This window comes from Homo sapiens, chromosome 18 (assembly GCF_000001405.40).
Source record: "Homo sapiens chromosome 18, GRCh38.p14 Primary Assembly".
Classification (NCBI taxonomy): domain Eukaryota; kingdom Metazoa; phylum Chordata; class Mammalia; order Primates; family Hominidae; genus Homo; species Homo sapiens.
The window spans coordinates 33,634,536-33,649,702 of NC_000018.10; the positions used below are offsets into that span (position 1 = coordinate 33,634,536).

At 34.6% G+C, this 15,167-nt stretch overlaps 1 protein-coding gene across 8 annotated transcripts in view; it reads left to right on the forward strand.

Annotated features, from left to right (window-relative positions):
- ASXL3 (ASXL transcriptional regulator 3) overlaps positions 1-15,167 on the forward strand; it is a 172,977-nt gene that overhangs the window by 56,317 nt on the left and 101,493 nt on the right. For all 8 annotated transcript variants that reach the window (XM_005258356.2, NM_030632.3, XM_011526205.3 and 5 more), the window contains 2 exons: positions 10,359-10,467; positions 11,710-11,818. In XM_005258356.2, coding sequence (XP_005258413.1) covers positions 10,359-10,467; positions 11,710-11,818 — 218 coding nt within the window. The remainder of the gene's footprint in view (positions 1-10,358; positions 10,468-11,709; positions 11,819-15,167) is intronic.

Consider the following 15,167-nt stretch of genomic DNA (forward strand, 5'->3'; position numbering starts at 1 on the left):
TAACTAATAATGTCTTTTTGTGAAAGTATGTGTTTTTCTATGGTCTGTACCAAAAAGTGGATTGCTGATCTGTAGAGCATGCACAGTTTTTTTAAAAACTGGATCTTGCCAAATGCCTTTCCAAATTGGTTATATCAGTTTATGCTCTCACTGGAGTATTTAATATTTCCCATTTCTGGATGTCCTCAGCCAACACATGGAATTGTCAGGCTTGAAATTTTGTTTTCTGTAAATGGTAAAATGTTAGCTTATCAACAAGCCCCTGAATGTGTTCCGAGCACTCAAACCTGGCAAGGCGCTATGAGGTGAACACCTAGAATCTTTATTAAAGTCAGGGTCCTCAAGGAGCTAGTTGCCATCAAGCAGTGTGGTGGTAGACTGCACAGAACTAAATGCTACAATAGTAGCATAGGCTGTAATGCCTTTGGAAGTGCAGAGAACATCATTGTGGACTGCAGAGGTGATTAGTAGCTTTTAGGAGATGAAGATGAGGGGATCTTGACAAATGAGTAGGAAGAGAGGAGAGCAGTGGGCATTGAGGAAGAGAGAAACATGCTGAGAGGCAGCCTGATTGGAATGGGCTTTAGAAAGCTAATAGTCAAACTATTACTAATTGCCCTTAAAACCTTAACCAGAAATGGATTAATAGAGCCTCAAAACACGTGTATTTTAAACTCACTATCGCTATGTAAATGAGGCCTAGAAAAATAGTCAGCTTGTACAAGTCATATAAGCTCTCTCTTTGGCATCCAAAATAAAACTAGGTAGAGACTTATTGGCTTATTTAACTTGGGCATCCATCAGGTTGATCTTCAACATGACCAGGCAATACGGGAGTTCCCATGATCTTTTCTCCCCTTTTCTTTCCATGCTTTACTCTGCTTTCCTCTGGTTAGCTTTATCCCCTGCAGGCCCTGGCCTTGTGGAGGCAGAGATAGGCACCAGCTATTCTCTTTTGTGTCTTTATAGCTAATGTTATTACTGGAAGATAATTTATACTCTTTCCTTTTATTTCTGTATCTGTTTTTGAAAAGACACTCAAAATTCCACCAGCTTACCAATTTCTATGACCAAGTAGATAGTTTAATCTGGCCAGCCTTACTGGTGATGAAATCAATCCTATTTTATCGATGCATACACTGGAATCACATTGTTATGAAAGGGAGAGTCCCTAAAAGAAAAGAATGCAGGGTATGCAAATATAAGATGGCCACTGCAGCCTTTTGGTATATAGAGTCCTTCACAGACATGATTGCAGCCATGAATTTAAAAAGAATTTTGGTGATGTTCATTGCATGTATTTTATGTCTACACATCCATGATCGTAACAGCTTTTATTTTAGTGATTAAATGTATTTCAACAAACAACTTTTGAGTACATTGGTGTTGCTTGTCAGGCAATATAAAAATAAATATGTCTATCTCCTGTGGAATTTCCAAACTTGTTGGAAGTAGTAAGGGCAGGAAAGTTAAAGGTGTAAACAATTTTCAAAGAAAATAAACCATGAGAGATATGCAAAGTATCGTGATTGTTCTAAAGGAATGGGGCTATCTTAGGTCGTAAAAGGCTTCCCCATACGGATGGTAGCCAGAGCAGACATGGGAAACCATAGAAGCTTGGTGATTTACTGAGTTGGATTGGATTATAGGAGAGTGGTCTGAGAGTTGGAGAAGATGAAGATGAGGTAGATGCCAACTGTGTTGTAGATGACCCTAATGCTGGCCTGAGGACTTTGTGCCTCCTTCGGTGGGCAGTGAAAACCACTGATTCAACAACAACAACAACAACAACAACAACAGCAACAACAACAGCCACAACAACAGCCACAACAACAGCCACAGCCACAGTGAATGGCATGGCTAAGAAGCAGTCTGAGCAGTGTTTCTGTTGTTGTTTTTAAATAAGAAAATTATCTGGCACCAGTGTGTAGGCCGAATTGGACCTGGGAGTTGAAGCAGGGAGACCAGTTAGAGATTATAGAATTGTCTTGTGAATGAGGTAAAGATTTTTTGAAATAGAATGTAATGAAGTGAAAATGTAAGGTTTCAGGTGAACGTAGTTGGGGCTTTGTGATGCATCAGTCATGGGTACTGGAGGAGGAAGATTGTGCCCACGGCTGAGTGAGGCTAGTGGGGATCAGGAGGAAGATCTGCTCTGAGGAGATGCATTTCATGTCAGATGTGGCATCTGTTGGGTAATATAATGCAGGTTGAGTTTCCCTTATTCAGAATGTTTGGGACCAGAAGTGTCTTGGATTTTGGATTTTTTTAAAAAAATTTTGAATATTTGTGTTATACCAGTTGAGCATCCCAAATCTAAAAATCTGAAATCCTAAAAGGTCCTATGAGTGTTTCCTTTGAGCATCATGTCGGTGCTCAAAAAGTTTCAAATTCTGGAGCATTTCAAATTTTCAGATTTGGGCTACTCAACCTGTATTGCAAATACATAGTATTTTTAAGTACATAGAGATACGTTTGTGAATTTTCAATGCTATTTACACTTCCTGGATGTGTTTTTCAATTTTATGAATTTATACAGGGAAAATAATCATCACACTGTATTTTTCACAGAAAAAGAGAGCTTTTGCACATTTTTCAAGTAATCTTTTAACATTTGCTTAATAAAATTAAACATTCCTGGGAGTGCTGACTGCTAGGTGTTTTATTCCTAGTTATCCTAATCATATAAATATGATATAACATTTCTCTAAGTATATTTTTTGGCATGCCATGATAGGCGTTGTTGCTAAATGTTATGGTGGAGAGGATTCTTTCATTATATATGATCAGAAAACACAGAGTTAAACAGGATTTTTCAGAGACTTCAATAATATATATTAATGTATTTGGTGAGTGTGCAAAAGGAGAATGCAACATACATTTCTCAAACACATTTGAGAATGTTTTTGAGCAACACTTGGGACAGATATCCCACAGAACAGATTCTGGAAATGGTGGAGTATTGACCATTGCTAATATGATGGGAGAGAATGAGTAGCTACAGGTTGAATATAGAAACTTACATTTTAGTATGAAACTAACTCATACCAGATATAATTACAATGTCTGTTCTTTTAATATATAAAATTTACTATTTTATTTTGTAAGATACAGTTTTTGACCTAATTGGAAATAATTTTTTTGAGCTTGCAGGGGTGGAGAAATAGGCTAAAAGTCCTGAAGAGCCACCTATGGCCATGGGTTGACTGCCTCTGCATAGGAGTCAATGACATGATATGTTTGTACATGATCACATCTCAGTCATCTTGGAATAAACTAAGGATAACATTTAAATTCCAAATGGTTTTCTCTTGTTTGCAGCATGCCTCAAGGCTGCCTTTCTGCTGAGTCCCCTGTCATTTCATATGTATTCAGAAAATTTAGTTCAGCTCAGCCTACATTTCTATTATGTGCAAAACACTGTTGGAGTACAAATTTATTTCAAGATTAGCTTGACATACATAAATAGAGTGCTCAATAAATGTTTGTTCAGTGAAAGAATTGTGTTTTTTCTTAATGATCCAGTTTAATAAAGAGGCATCTCAATTATGGATCTGAATTCTCTACCACATATATGTATATATGTGCATGTGTATAGTATATATATATATAATACACGCACATAGTGTGTGTATATATATATCTTATGTGTATATATATCTTATTTATGATATATATATATTATCAAATACACAAATATATATATTTGTAGAGATAAGGTCTCACTGTGTTGCCCAGACTAGTCTCGAATTCCTGATCTCAAGCCATTCTTTCGCCTCTGCCGCACAAAATGTTGGGATTACGGGCATCAGCCACCATGCCTGGCCTCTATCATATTTTCTTTAAGTTTCTTCTTCCTTTGTTTTCATTGGTGACATTACCAGAGGAAGATAACCAACAATGTCATCTTCTGCAGCCTAGTTCTTTATATTTGAAATCTACTCTGGAGAAGTCAGAATTGAGAATGAAGCAGGTCACCTTATTTAGCAGCATCTGGCTTTAAAAATGTATTTCCTTGAAGTGCTAAATATTTGCTTAAGTGTTCAAGTTAGATTAAATAGAGGAGGCAGTTCTATGGAGAGAGAATGTGAGATAGTGGAAAGAGCACGGGCTTTGGAATCAGATTAGAATTTAGATTTCATCTGTATCACTTAGTTGTTATCTGACTTCTGTAAGATTCCTCATCTCTGAATCTCAGTCATGTCTATAAAACTGGGAATCATGCCTACATTTTGGAGTGGCTATGAGGCATATAGATAATAGTTGTGAAAGCCCAGGCACATTATAGATGCTCAATAAATGGTAGCTATAGTAATAGATGTGTTGCCATCATTCTTCTCCCTGTCCCCTTACTACGTTATCAGTTATTTTTAATACTATCCACATGTGACAGACTATGGACGAGCTGTGTACACATGCCTGTGTCTTCACTTATTTTTGATACTGAGATGAAAATGAAATTAGAAATTAAAATCTTTTTAAAAATTAAAATATTACCTGAGCCAATTCTTTAAACAAGCTGTGAAATATTAATTTCTTTCCATTTGTCATTCTTTTTACATTTAGATGTTGGTTACTATGGTTAGCAGTAGTAGTATTAATAAAATAAGTCACAATTTTTGAACATTTACCACGTACCAGACACAGTTCTAAGTGCTTTATATGTTTTAATGCATTTAATCTTCGGATTAATTCTCTAGGACATAGTGAGTTTTATTATCCACATTTTAGAGTCAAGGGACCTGTGACCTAGAGAAGTCCAATGTGACACAGCTCCTAAATGGTCCCAACCTTGTTGAACTCAGGCTGACTGGCTCCAGAGCCCACAGTCTTCCTCGTTGTTCGCCACCGCCCTCCCCAGCATAGGGATGGTAATATAGCATGTCATGGCATGTGTAATTGTAGAGGAACAATTGTCAGTGTCTAGGTGTATGTGTGGCATGTTCTTTACTAGATGTCTATAATTAAAGATAACCACCTCACCTCCTATTTTAGTTGAGGGTCTTTGAAAATTATGATACAGATCATATATTTTGGTTTATGCTTATGTAGGGCTATTTCTTAATTTCCCTGTAGATCTTGTTTTAAAATAATACTAAGCAAACTTTTGTCCTTGTATTAATGTTTTTGAATTTTTGATTCCTAAAACAATAGGTCCATTTAGTGAGTGTGGCTGTACGAATCGCTATAGTCTATCTAATGATATCTTGGTAGTTTTTAATAGGATAAGAGTTCTAAATTCAAATGTATGTCTCTACTTGTTGTACAAACAGACATATTCATGCCAACAAGAGATACACACTGAGGTCTGGAGTTCGAAGTTCTTTCTCTAAATTTAAGAATTAAAGTGTACAACATATATTATTTGATAAATATTTTTTGTCTTAATCCTTCCTGATAAAAAGAGTGCCAATACTGCATTTTAACATTACTTTAGAGACATATTGAATATCAAAAACCACATATCCTCACATAGAAAATCACAAAATATCTTCCTTTGAAATGTGACCCGTCTCTTATTTGATGGATTATTCCCATTTATGTTTATATTTTCTAAATCTTTCTTATTCCTCTTATGTTACTGCACAATAAAAGCTTTCACTAGTGATTGTAGAGAGACCATGAAGTCTGGGACACTGTTTCTTCACTATCAAATTTGAGGCTTAGTATAGATCATTTTGTATTGGAATTATTCAGCTAACTTATATAACTATATACATATATTACAAACATATATATATATATCATTCAGATAACATATATAAAGCCCTCTAAATTTTAAGATTTTATTTTCAGTCATTTTAGAGAGTTTCTTATTGACAATAATATCTCCCAAGAGTAATAAGTTCATTTGGCCTTGGTTTTTCTAGGGTGGTTTGTAATCATCTAGGTTACTGAGTTGTCAGTTGATGTACACTGGGTTACTATGTGTGTTTAGGAGCCATCCTCATTCTTCTCCACTAGTAGAGACACGCCCATTAAATAAATAAATCTAAGTGTACATTATTAATGTTTTAACATTCAAAAATAATTTTCGTGAAGTATATACAGAGTTTAGTCCACAAATTCTAAACAATTTTCACAAAGTGAACACAGATACTGTATCAAGAATTAAAATGTTACTTGCACCTGAGACCCACCTAACTTACTCTTAAAATATATTCTTTATATTTTCTCAAAGCTAACATTTGAGATGCTTGAAAGAAGCATTATTAATTTTTTTGAAAGAATGAGCATATAATTGTTTATATTAATTTATATTAATAGCACTAAGCACAGTAACTAATTATGGTGTTTAATAACTGCTTGAATTTGTTGTTTTTATGCTTTTGTTGTACAGAATTAATTTTTTTACATTTCTATATTTAAAAAATGAGGCTAAAAGAAATGTTAGCAGGAAATAGATTACATCTGAAATTTTTATTAAGACATAACAATATAATAAAATAGTTTAATATATGTATTACTGAAATATTATAAATCATTATGTTATATATAAAGGAATAGTGGCTCTCAATTATATTTTCTTTGTCATGCCTGCAAATAGTCTTCCAATTGCATTCCCCAGGTATTCTGTCTAGTTTTTAAAATTATTTAATAGATAGGCCTTTCATTCCTTTCACTAAGTATTCACTGTCGGTAAAATTGTGTGTATTCCGTCAGCAATTTGATAATATAAAGCAATAGTTTTTCTGTATTTCACACAGCACTGGGGCTCTGTAAAGCATCTCTAGGGGTTCTTTGATGTCTAGACAGTTTAAATTATGCCTGCTCCCTTGCCTCCAGATTCCACCCCGTTCTGCTTCAGGGGTTGTGGGAAATGAAAACAAACCAGAAGGGTCCACAGCCTTACAGTACAGGGGGAAAAACAAACAAGTAGAATAAGCTGTATATCTACCCTGGCAGGTGTATAGGAAAGGGCCCAATTGTAGGGGATGGGAGAAAGAAAAGAATTGGGGACAAATAGTGTCCTGCTTATTTATTTCTAGTTATATTTATTATATAGAAATACATGGGCTTTCTGAACAAAATGAAAACATCGTAGAAGTATTAGGGGAAAAAATCGAAGCCACCTTTTAGCCCAGTGCCCCAGTTTTTTCTTCCCAGCCTCCCCATAGGCAGCCAAATTTGGCTTTGGTGGGTTTCCTGTGCATTGTCCTATTTGTTGAAATGGTAAGATGAAGAATTGTGTTTTAAGTTGGAAAACTAACTTTGTTTTCTTCCTTTCTTTTTGTTTTCCTTCTATAAATCGGGATATCGTGGTTTTTCCAATTCATCTTGTTAGAAAGTAAGTAAATTTGAAATTTCAGAGACTTTTAAATTAAAACTTGGATGTTTTATTATTTCATATACACACACATATAGTTACAGGATTTCAAACTTCTAAATTCCGACTGAGGTGATGAGCTTTTGCATTAACTGTGAAGAAAATTTTGTTGAATAAATTAAAAATAAGAACCATTACATAGAAGGCAATCAATTCTATCTAAGAGTACAGACTTTTAAAGCATGTACATCTGCCTCATTTTTTACCCACAGTTAATCATTATGTTTAAGATATATATATGTGTATATACAATATATAGTATACATGCCAATTCTATTTTTTCTGAATATAAAAATAATAAAATTACATAAGACTTATATTTATTTCTATTCAATAGCAGTTAAGATATTTCTGCAGAAAATGTTGTCTAAGTTTTCTGTAGTTTATGGAATTGATGAGGATAGCAGCAATAAGGAAATGGTATGAAATGTTTTTGAAATACATTTTCCTCTGTATATTTTACATTGGATGAATCAGTTACCTTTTAATAAGCATTTAGCTCATTTGATGCGTATTTTTCATTGTTTTTTTAAAAAAACGGACCAGAATAACTAGTTTTTCCTCCATAAAGGAATGAAACTCGTGTGCTTAAAACTAAGTGACTAATCAGTGAGTGATTTTAGTTGTAAAATTTGCATTTGACTGCAAATTATTTTCTAATGCAAATGTTGTATAGTTTTGAAATAAAACAAGTTTCTTTTGGGAAAGATTTATAGAAATTGCAATAGTTATTGAGACTTTGGAGATGTTGTGATTGTGAATTACATATTTTTAAATTTTTCCGTAGTAAATCTTGTGTTTATTGAGTTACTAAACAGTATAATTTAATAATATATTCATGCTTAATAGAGCTTATTATTTGTAGAAAACTGGGTGCTTATCACATATGTTTGCAGCAAGCACAGCATTAAATTGCTATTTAATAGCCAATTTATCTTCTACAATTATCTTTAGCTTGCTATACCTTAGAAAGGAAATGTAAATTATAGTAATGTTACATTTGTTTAGTACTTAGTCGTTGCCTTTAAATCTGTATTGTTATTTAACGTGCTGAATCTGAGTTGTTGGAATCATGTGCATTAGGGCCTTAGGAATAAAGAGAAGAAACAGCATTGTGAGGTTTCATATTAGGTGAACAATTTTATTAAGTTATATTTTTAAAATTCTACATTGTGTCATTTTTATGTATTGGATTCTATTTTACTTGTCGTGTTAACATCTTCTTGCCAAGTCCCTACGGAAAGTCTGTATTTCTGACAGTTCTACTAAATTAAAACTCCAAAAATCTGGCATAATCATTCTTAGCTTCAAATTTTCTATGCTTTTGTCTGAAGAATATAATGTAAAAATATGTATTTGCAATGTTCAGTATAACATGTATTGCATAATTTATTTGGAATTTATTCATGGAAAGACATTTCTGGGGAGATGAATATATTTTACTTTATAGGTATGCCTGGGCCCTCTCCAAATACGAGAAAAATATTTTGTGAGAGAAAATAATGAAATGAGGTCTGCAAACTTGTAGGAGCTTCATGAGGAAAGATATTACCTAAACACAACATTGTTTCCATGTGTACTTTAATGTTACAACTGCATTGTTCTGTGACCAAATTTATATTAAGATTCTTGTTTCCTGTCAAATTCAATGGAGTCATATTTATATGTTGGCACAGAGAAGCTGCTTCCTAAAATAATTGTCTTTGTAGGATGATAATACTTATAAATCCTTATGACCATGATGTATATATATGCTGCCTTGCTATTAAGTGTGTTCTGGCAATTCAGCATATTTGACTTTTCCATTTTACTGGTGAGTTTTCATTATAAGTAAGAGATTTGATAGTCTTGATCTTTAGAAAACTTTTAATTAGGAGCAAAATTATGTCTTTATCCTTGAAATTTGAAGTTAGAATTCTGAACTTACGAATTCAAAGTTTGAAAGCTTCATATCCTAAAGGCTGTATTGTCTCAGAATGTGAATTAAATACCCATAATTCCTAAGAAGCATGTGAGTGTAGTGGGGTTAGGGCTTTTAACTAAAATTGGTTTGACCAGATATTGATATTTCGGCATATTAGGAAGTAAAATGTATATGGATGTATAATTTTAAAAGGCAATAATTGTAGCTCTAAATTTTAGCTTCTAAATATTAGTTTGCAATCAAAACACAAAATTTGTTCCAAAATCTACTCCAGGAAATATATATGTACTTTATATTTTATAAACATCATTCAAGTATATGAACTCATTCTAATAATGTTTATACATATGTACTTTGATATTTTAAATGTTAGTTTAATGCTGTTTGATTTCTTTAAAAAGTGATCTGATATTCCAATCACTTGCATGTTTACTACAGAATTCTGTTAGCTGGACAGAATTTCCCAACACATATTTCTTTGACATATCTAACTGAGAAAAGGATGTCATTGTAGAGGCTGTATCAGAGATAGAAACACATATGTACATTCTTATTTTGCCATGTGAGAAATGCAGTCCTGTGAGTAACTTAAATACTTATAATTTCAAATCAGTTCTTCCCTGGTTTATTATTCTTTTGTTGCTTTTAAACGAATGGGATGGAGCTGCTCTTGAACTTGGTGGGTTTTTTTGTTTTTTTTTTTTTGATCATTCAAGTGCAACCATCAAGTTGTCTGTAATATTTAAAAGCTAAGGCTTCATGGTGTTATTTGTAAAATAACACCACATAAGTATTTGGGCTTTGGTTTCTGTAAAATATAGTATTGGTTACTCTATGAATAAAAGCATAATTTCAATTCAAGAGACTTTTGCCTGAAGCCTTATAAGACAGATGCATCTGATTAACTTTGGTGAAACTGGACTAGCCCTTTATTGTAATGTAGATGTTTTCAGGGTTGAGAGGGTATTTTTAAAAGGCATGCAAAGAGGTCTTTTTTTAATTATTTTTTTATTTTTTTTAAGAGAGAGCGAGCGAGACTCAGAGAACAGTTTTGCAATAGAAGCTGTACCTCAGACTGCTTCATTTTTGCACACTTTTATTTTCTAGTGGAACCTCTCCATTAGCCTGTCTGAATGCAATGCTTCACACTAACACTCGAATAGGGGATGGAACATTCTTCAAAATCCCTGGAAAGTCAGGCCTCTATGCTCTCAAAGTAAGTTGCATTGTTCTGCATATTGTTATTACTATTATCATGCATTTTTTCAGACATGTGAAGGTAAACAAAATTAGATTTGAAGAGTAGAAGAATGACTCCTATGCCTTTAAATGTTTACAGATGTCTTAGAAATGATTTCATATTAAGAATAAACAATGACATTTTTCTTTAAGGAAAGCATATCTGTGGTTTCACTCCGTGACATATGGTAATGCAGAATACTTGTAGCTTCCTTAAAATTCTTGATTCCTTAAAGTTTATGGGGAGGAGTGTCATGGGTCATTGGCCAGGAGTTTAAGATGAGCAGAGTTACCATGAACTCTTTGACTTAATGACCGTCAGTTGATATACAGGCTTCACACCTGTATGCCCTTGTCTTTTATAAAAATAAGACATTTATTCATTCTGCTTGAAAACATTGAATTAAATCTAGTATTCAATTTTAAAACAAATCGTGATCTCAAGGAAGTTTTACTAATGCACACTTGTATGAGAAGAAGAGAGAAATAAAAGCTTCAGATAACTGAGTCTTAATTATTTTAGTATAATTATTTTAAAGGCATTCCCATTTTTATCTAGGGGAAATGCCACCTGAAATGCAACATTCCAGAAGACAAAAGCTTATAATCTACAAATGGTTGTGTAACTTGGAATAAGTACATTCATTGTGTTATTTCTTAGAAATTAAAAAGAAGTCTCTGCTTTAATAAGTCATGGATTATATTTAAAGTTCATTAACTACATGTGAGTTTTTTTTTAATGTCAAAAGTTAGACAACAAAGCAGGGATTCTTCTTTAGCTACTAAGCATCAGGCTGTGGTCTACTGTGTGTGTTTCAGAAAATAACCCAGGTTAATCAGAAAGACTTGCAATTTTTCCATTGCTTTTTGTAGCAAGTTGGGTATTTAAGTAACTGATTAAAATTCTGAGTTGGTAAGCCATTTCTTTACATGAGGAAAACTGTAGAATTGAAAAAAGATGGAAACAACATATGTCAAAAGGAAACTTTTTTTGGGTATAGATTTTAAAAATTTATCCAAAAAAAAAATCAACAGTAGCAATGGGCTTTACCCAGTTTTTTTTTTTAATGGAAGAATGATTTTACATTAAAAAGTAAATCATTATTGAAATGTTAAGTCACAAATAACTGATCATACTGTAGGATTCTGCAAGTATTTTGAATGTTTTTAGTTGCTAATACATCTTCTCCATAAATCATCACTTTTCAAAATAATACAGAAAGAGGAGTCGTCATGCCCAGCAGATGGCACGTTGGATTTAGTCTGTGAATCTGAATTGGATGGTACAGATATGGCCGAGGCAAATGCCCATGGAGAAGAAAATGGAGGTAAGTGTGATGAATTCCAAAATATAATCCCTTGTTCTCTTAAAAGTTATATAGAATGCCAATGATTCATTAATTGAATTTCCCACCATTATCAATACAGTTTTCTTCTAAATTTTTACCGCTGAGATTTATCATCAAGGTGTTTTGATTCAAAAAGGATAAAATCTAAAAGAAGTATATAGTTCTTTGCTTTTGTTGTTTTTTAACAGTACATATTTCCCTGAATAATTTTCTTAAATACTTCTTTAAGTATCAACATATTTCTCCTGCAAAGTGAGAGGGTTACTGGGGGCATCTAGTGGTTTCATTCTTATGGGAGGACTGAGAATGCTAATGTTTTATTTCTGATTGTGCTGATTTTTCCTGTAATCACAAGTAGTTTTATAACAGCTTTGTTCCTTGGTTTGTCTTTTGCAAATGAAGCTCAGTGTTATCATTCCTCACAGTGAAAAGAGGGCCAAATAAGATATTTTCTTGTTAGACACTTTTAAGAAGTGAGTGAACCTTCCAGAATTTTAAGGGGGAGCGGGGGGGGGGGGCATTTTTCACCTCTGAATTTTATATGTGAACTTATTTTTGTCTTCCTTAAGACAATTATATTGTGATCCTTTCGGTGTATGTAATTCTGCACTGCAATTTTGGCAAATCTTTGTCCCACAATAGCTGCAGTGCTTTCTTCTACTCTACCCACTGGTTCCACAAAGGGACCCAGATCATGATTTGAGAGAAAACTGTGTAGTTAAAGTCTCTGTCAGTAGACTCATAGGAATCAGTAAATTACCTTTAAACAGACAAACCTTAAAGGATGTTTGCAGAAATATTGTATTTCAGTAATAACCCAAAGTCATTCATTTTATTAATGGCCATAGAGTCCCTTTGTTTGTCCTCTGCATGCTCACTGAATGCTCTCTTTAAACTTGTGTGCTGATAGACCCTGTAAGACTGTTACTGCTTCCGTTCCTCTCTGATCTGTAGCAAAGGTTGTGAATTTAATGTAGGAAAAACACAGTTTATTGCCCTAAGGAAATTACAAGAATGGCTGCAGACTGCTTTATGGATGTTTTACTTTTCATGTGACTTGTTGTCCCTATTCCCAGGCTTTTTGAGTATCCCCCCAATTGTTGTGGTAATGGTGGAACCCTGGCTGGTCTTTGTGATTAGAGAGGGGAAAAGGCAGAGAATCACAGTAATTTCTGGCTTTCTAAAAGGGGAGGTGAGTGGGGCATACTTTTCCCTTTCAGGAGGGTGAAGGAGAATCTTAACTGCAGTTGCTCCTAGTGTGGTACTCTTGCCTGGGTGAGCGCTCATGTGCTCTCTCAACATATATACTGAGCTTCTTTCATGTGCCAAGTACTATTCTTGACATTGCAGTTACAGCAGTGAAAAACAAAAGCAAATCTCTCATGAAGCTTATTTTCTTTGAGAGACAGAAAATAAGCAAAATAAATATCTAAAATGTATAGGTTATTCAGTGGTGACAAGTGATATGGGGCAAAATACATAAGGGAGTGGGGGAGTAGGGGAGAGGGTTACATTTAGAAAAGACCTGAGGAGCATGAGAGAACAGGCATTCAGGGGAGAGAACTCCAGGTAGAGGGAACAGCAGTTACAAAGGCATTGAGGCAGGAGAGTGCCTGGAATATTCCAGAGATAGCAAGAGGCTGGTGTGGCTGTGAGGCCAAAGTGAACAAGGGAGAGTATGTTAAGAAACAAAGCCAGGGAAGTTATGGGGGCCAGGTTATATGGTGCCTTGATGCTGGCTTCTGTTTTGAGTGAGATATTAAGCCATTGTAGAGTTTTGAGCTAGAAAGGCAATGGCCACATGTAGGTTTTAGCAGGATCACTAACTACGAAAAAGATACGAGAACAAGGAAAAAAGCAGGGAGACCCATTAGACAGCTATTGTCGTAATCTAGAGGAGAGGTGTTGTTGATTTGAAGGAAAGTACTAGCAGTGGATGGGATGAAAAGTGATTGGATTCTGGTAGATCCAGCAGAAGCTGCTGGCAGATAAATGTGAGTGTAAGATAGAGAAAGGAGTTGGGGATAACTCCAGAGTTTGAGTATGTGAGCAAGTTGAACAATAGCATTGTCCTTAGTTTAGATGGAAGAATCTTCAAGGGAACCAGTTAAGGGGAGGGGCGTTGTTGATCAGGAGCTCAGTTCTGGACATGAAATTCTTTTTCAATATCTAGGTGGACATGTTAAATAACTGATTTTATCTGTCTGAAAATTATGGGAAAGATCCTTCTTGGAGATACTGATTTGGAAGTGGCCAGTTTATAGATGGTAGTTAAAGACAGGAAACTGGATGACATTACCAAGGAACTGAAGGTAAATAGAAAAGAAAAAAGACCCAAAGACTGAGCTCAGGGGCACTTGAATTTTAAGAGCTTGGAGAGAGTATAGAAAACAGTGAGACTGAAAGTAAATGGACACGGTAAGATTTTCTGTCCTGGAAACCATATGAAGAAAGTATTTTGGAGGGTGAAGTGACTCAAATGTGTCAATGCTTTTGAAATGTGAATTCATGATGAAGATTAGGAAATTACCACTGGATTTACCTTTATGAGTGTATTGATGAATTTGGCAGTGGTAATTTTTGTGGAATGGTAAGACCATAGCTTGAATAAGGTGGGTTCAAGATAATGAGAGGAGAGGAATTAGAGACCACAAGTGTAGACAATTCTTTCAAGGAATTTTGAGGTCAGGGGAAGGAGTGGAATGGGAAAATGGCTGGAAAGGAAAGAATCAAGAGACAGTTTAAAAAAATGGGAAACAATTGTTAGCAAATTATTCACTAATGGGAACATTTCAGTTAAGGAAAATTGATAATGTGGCAGAGGTGTTCTGTTATGGTTTGGTTAGATGAGGGAGAATGGGACTATTCAGCAAATGGAGAGATTGGTCTTAGCAAGAGATGTAGACAGGTGCTCTAAAGGAGGCAGTAGGAAAAGCGAGGGTGTTTCAGTAGAAGTGAAGGTAGGCCAGTACTTGTGGAAGGGGCTCGTAGAAGTTTGCTTCTGTGTGTGTTATTTTTCTCAGCAAAATAGAAAAGTAGTCCATCAGTTAAGGGTGAGAATAGGGGAGGTAGTTTTGTAGACTTAAGGAGAAGATAGAAAATATTTGTCTGAGAGAGTCTGACAGCATTAAGGACATTCTTAAGGTTAGTCATCCTGAATTTACTAGGAGACCAACCTACATGGTTGTCCATTTTTCTCCAGTCATGTTCGGGACCACTCTACAAGTACAGAAGATGTGTATAGTGACTGAAGCTGGGGTTTTGCCAAATGTAAATGATGAAGCAAGAGAGGAAGAAAGGAGTTAAGGGTATATGAAGTGGAGTAATG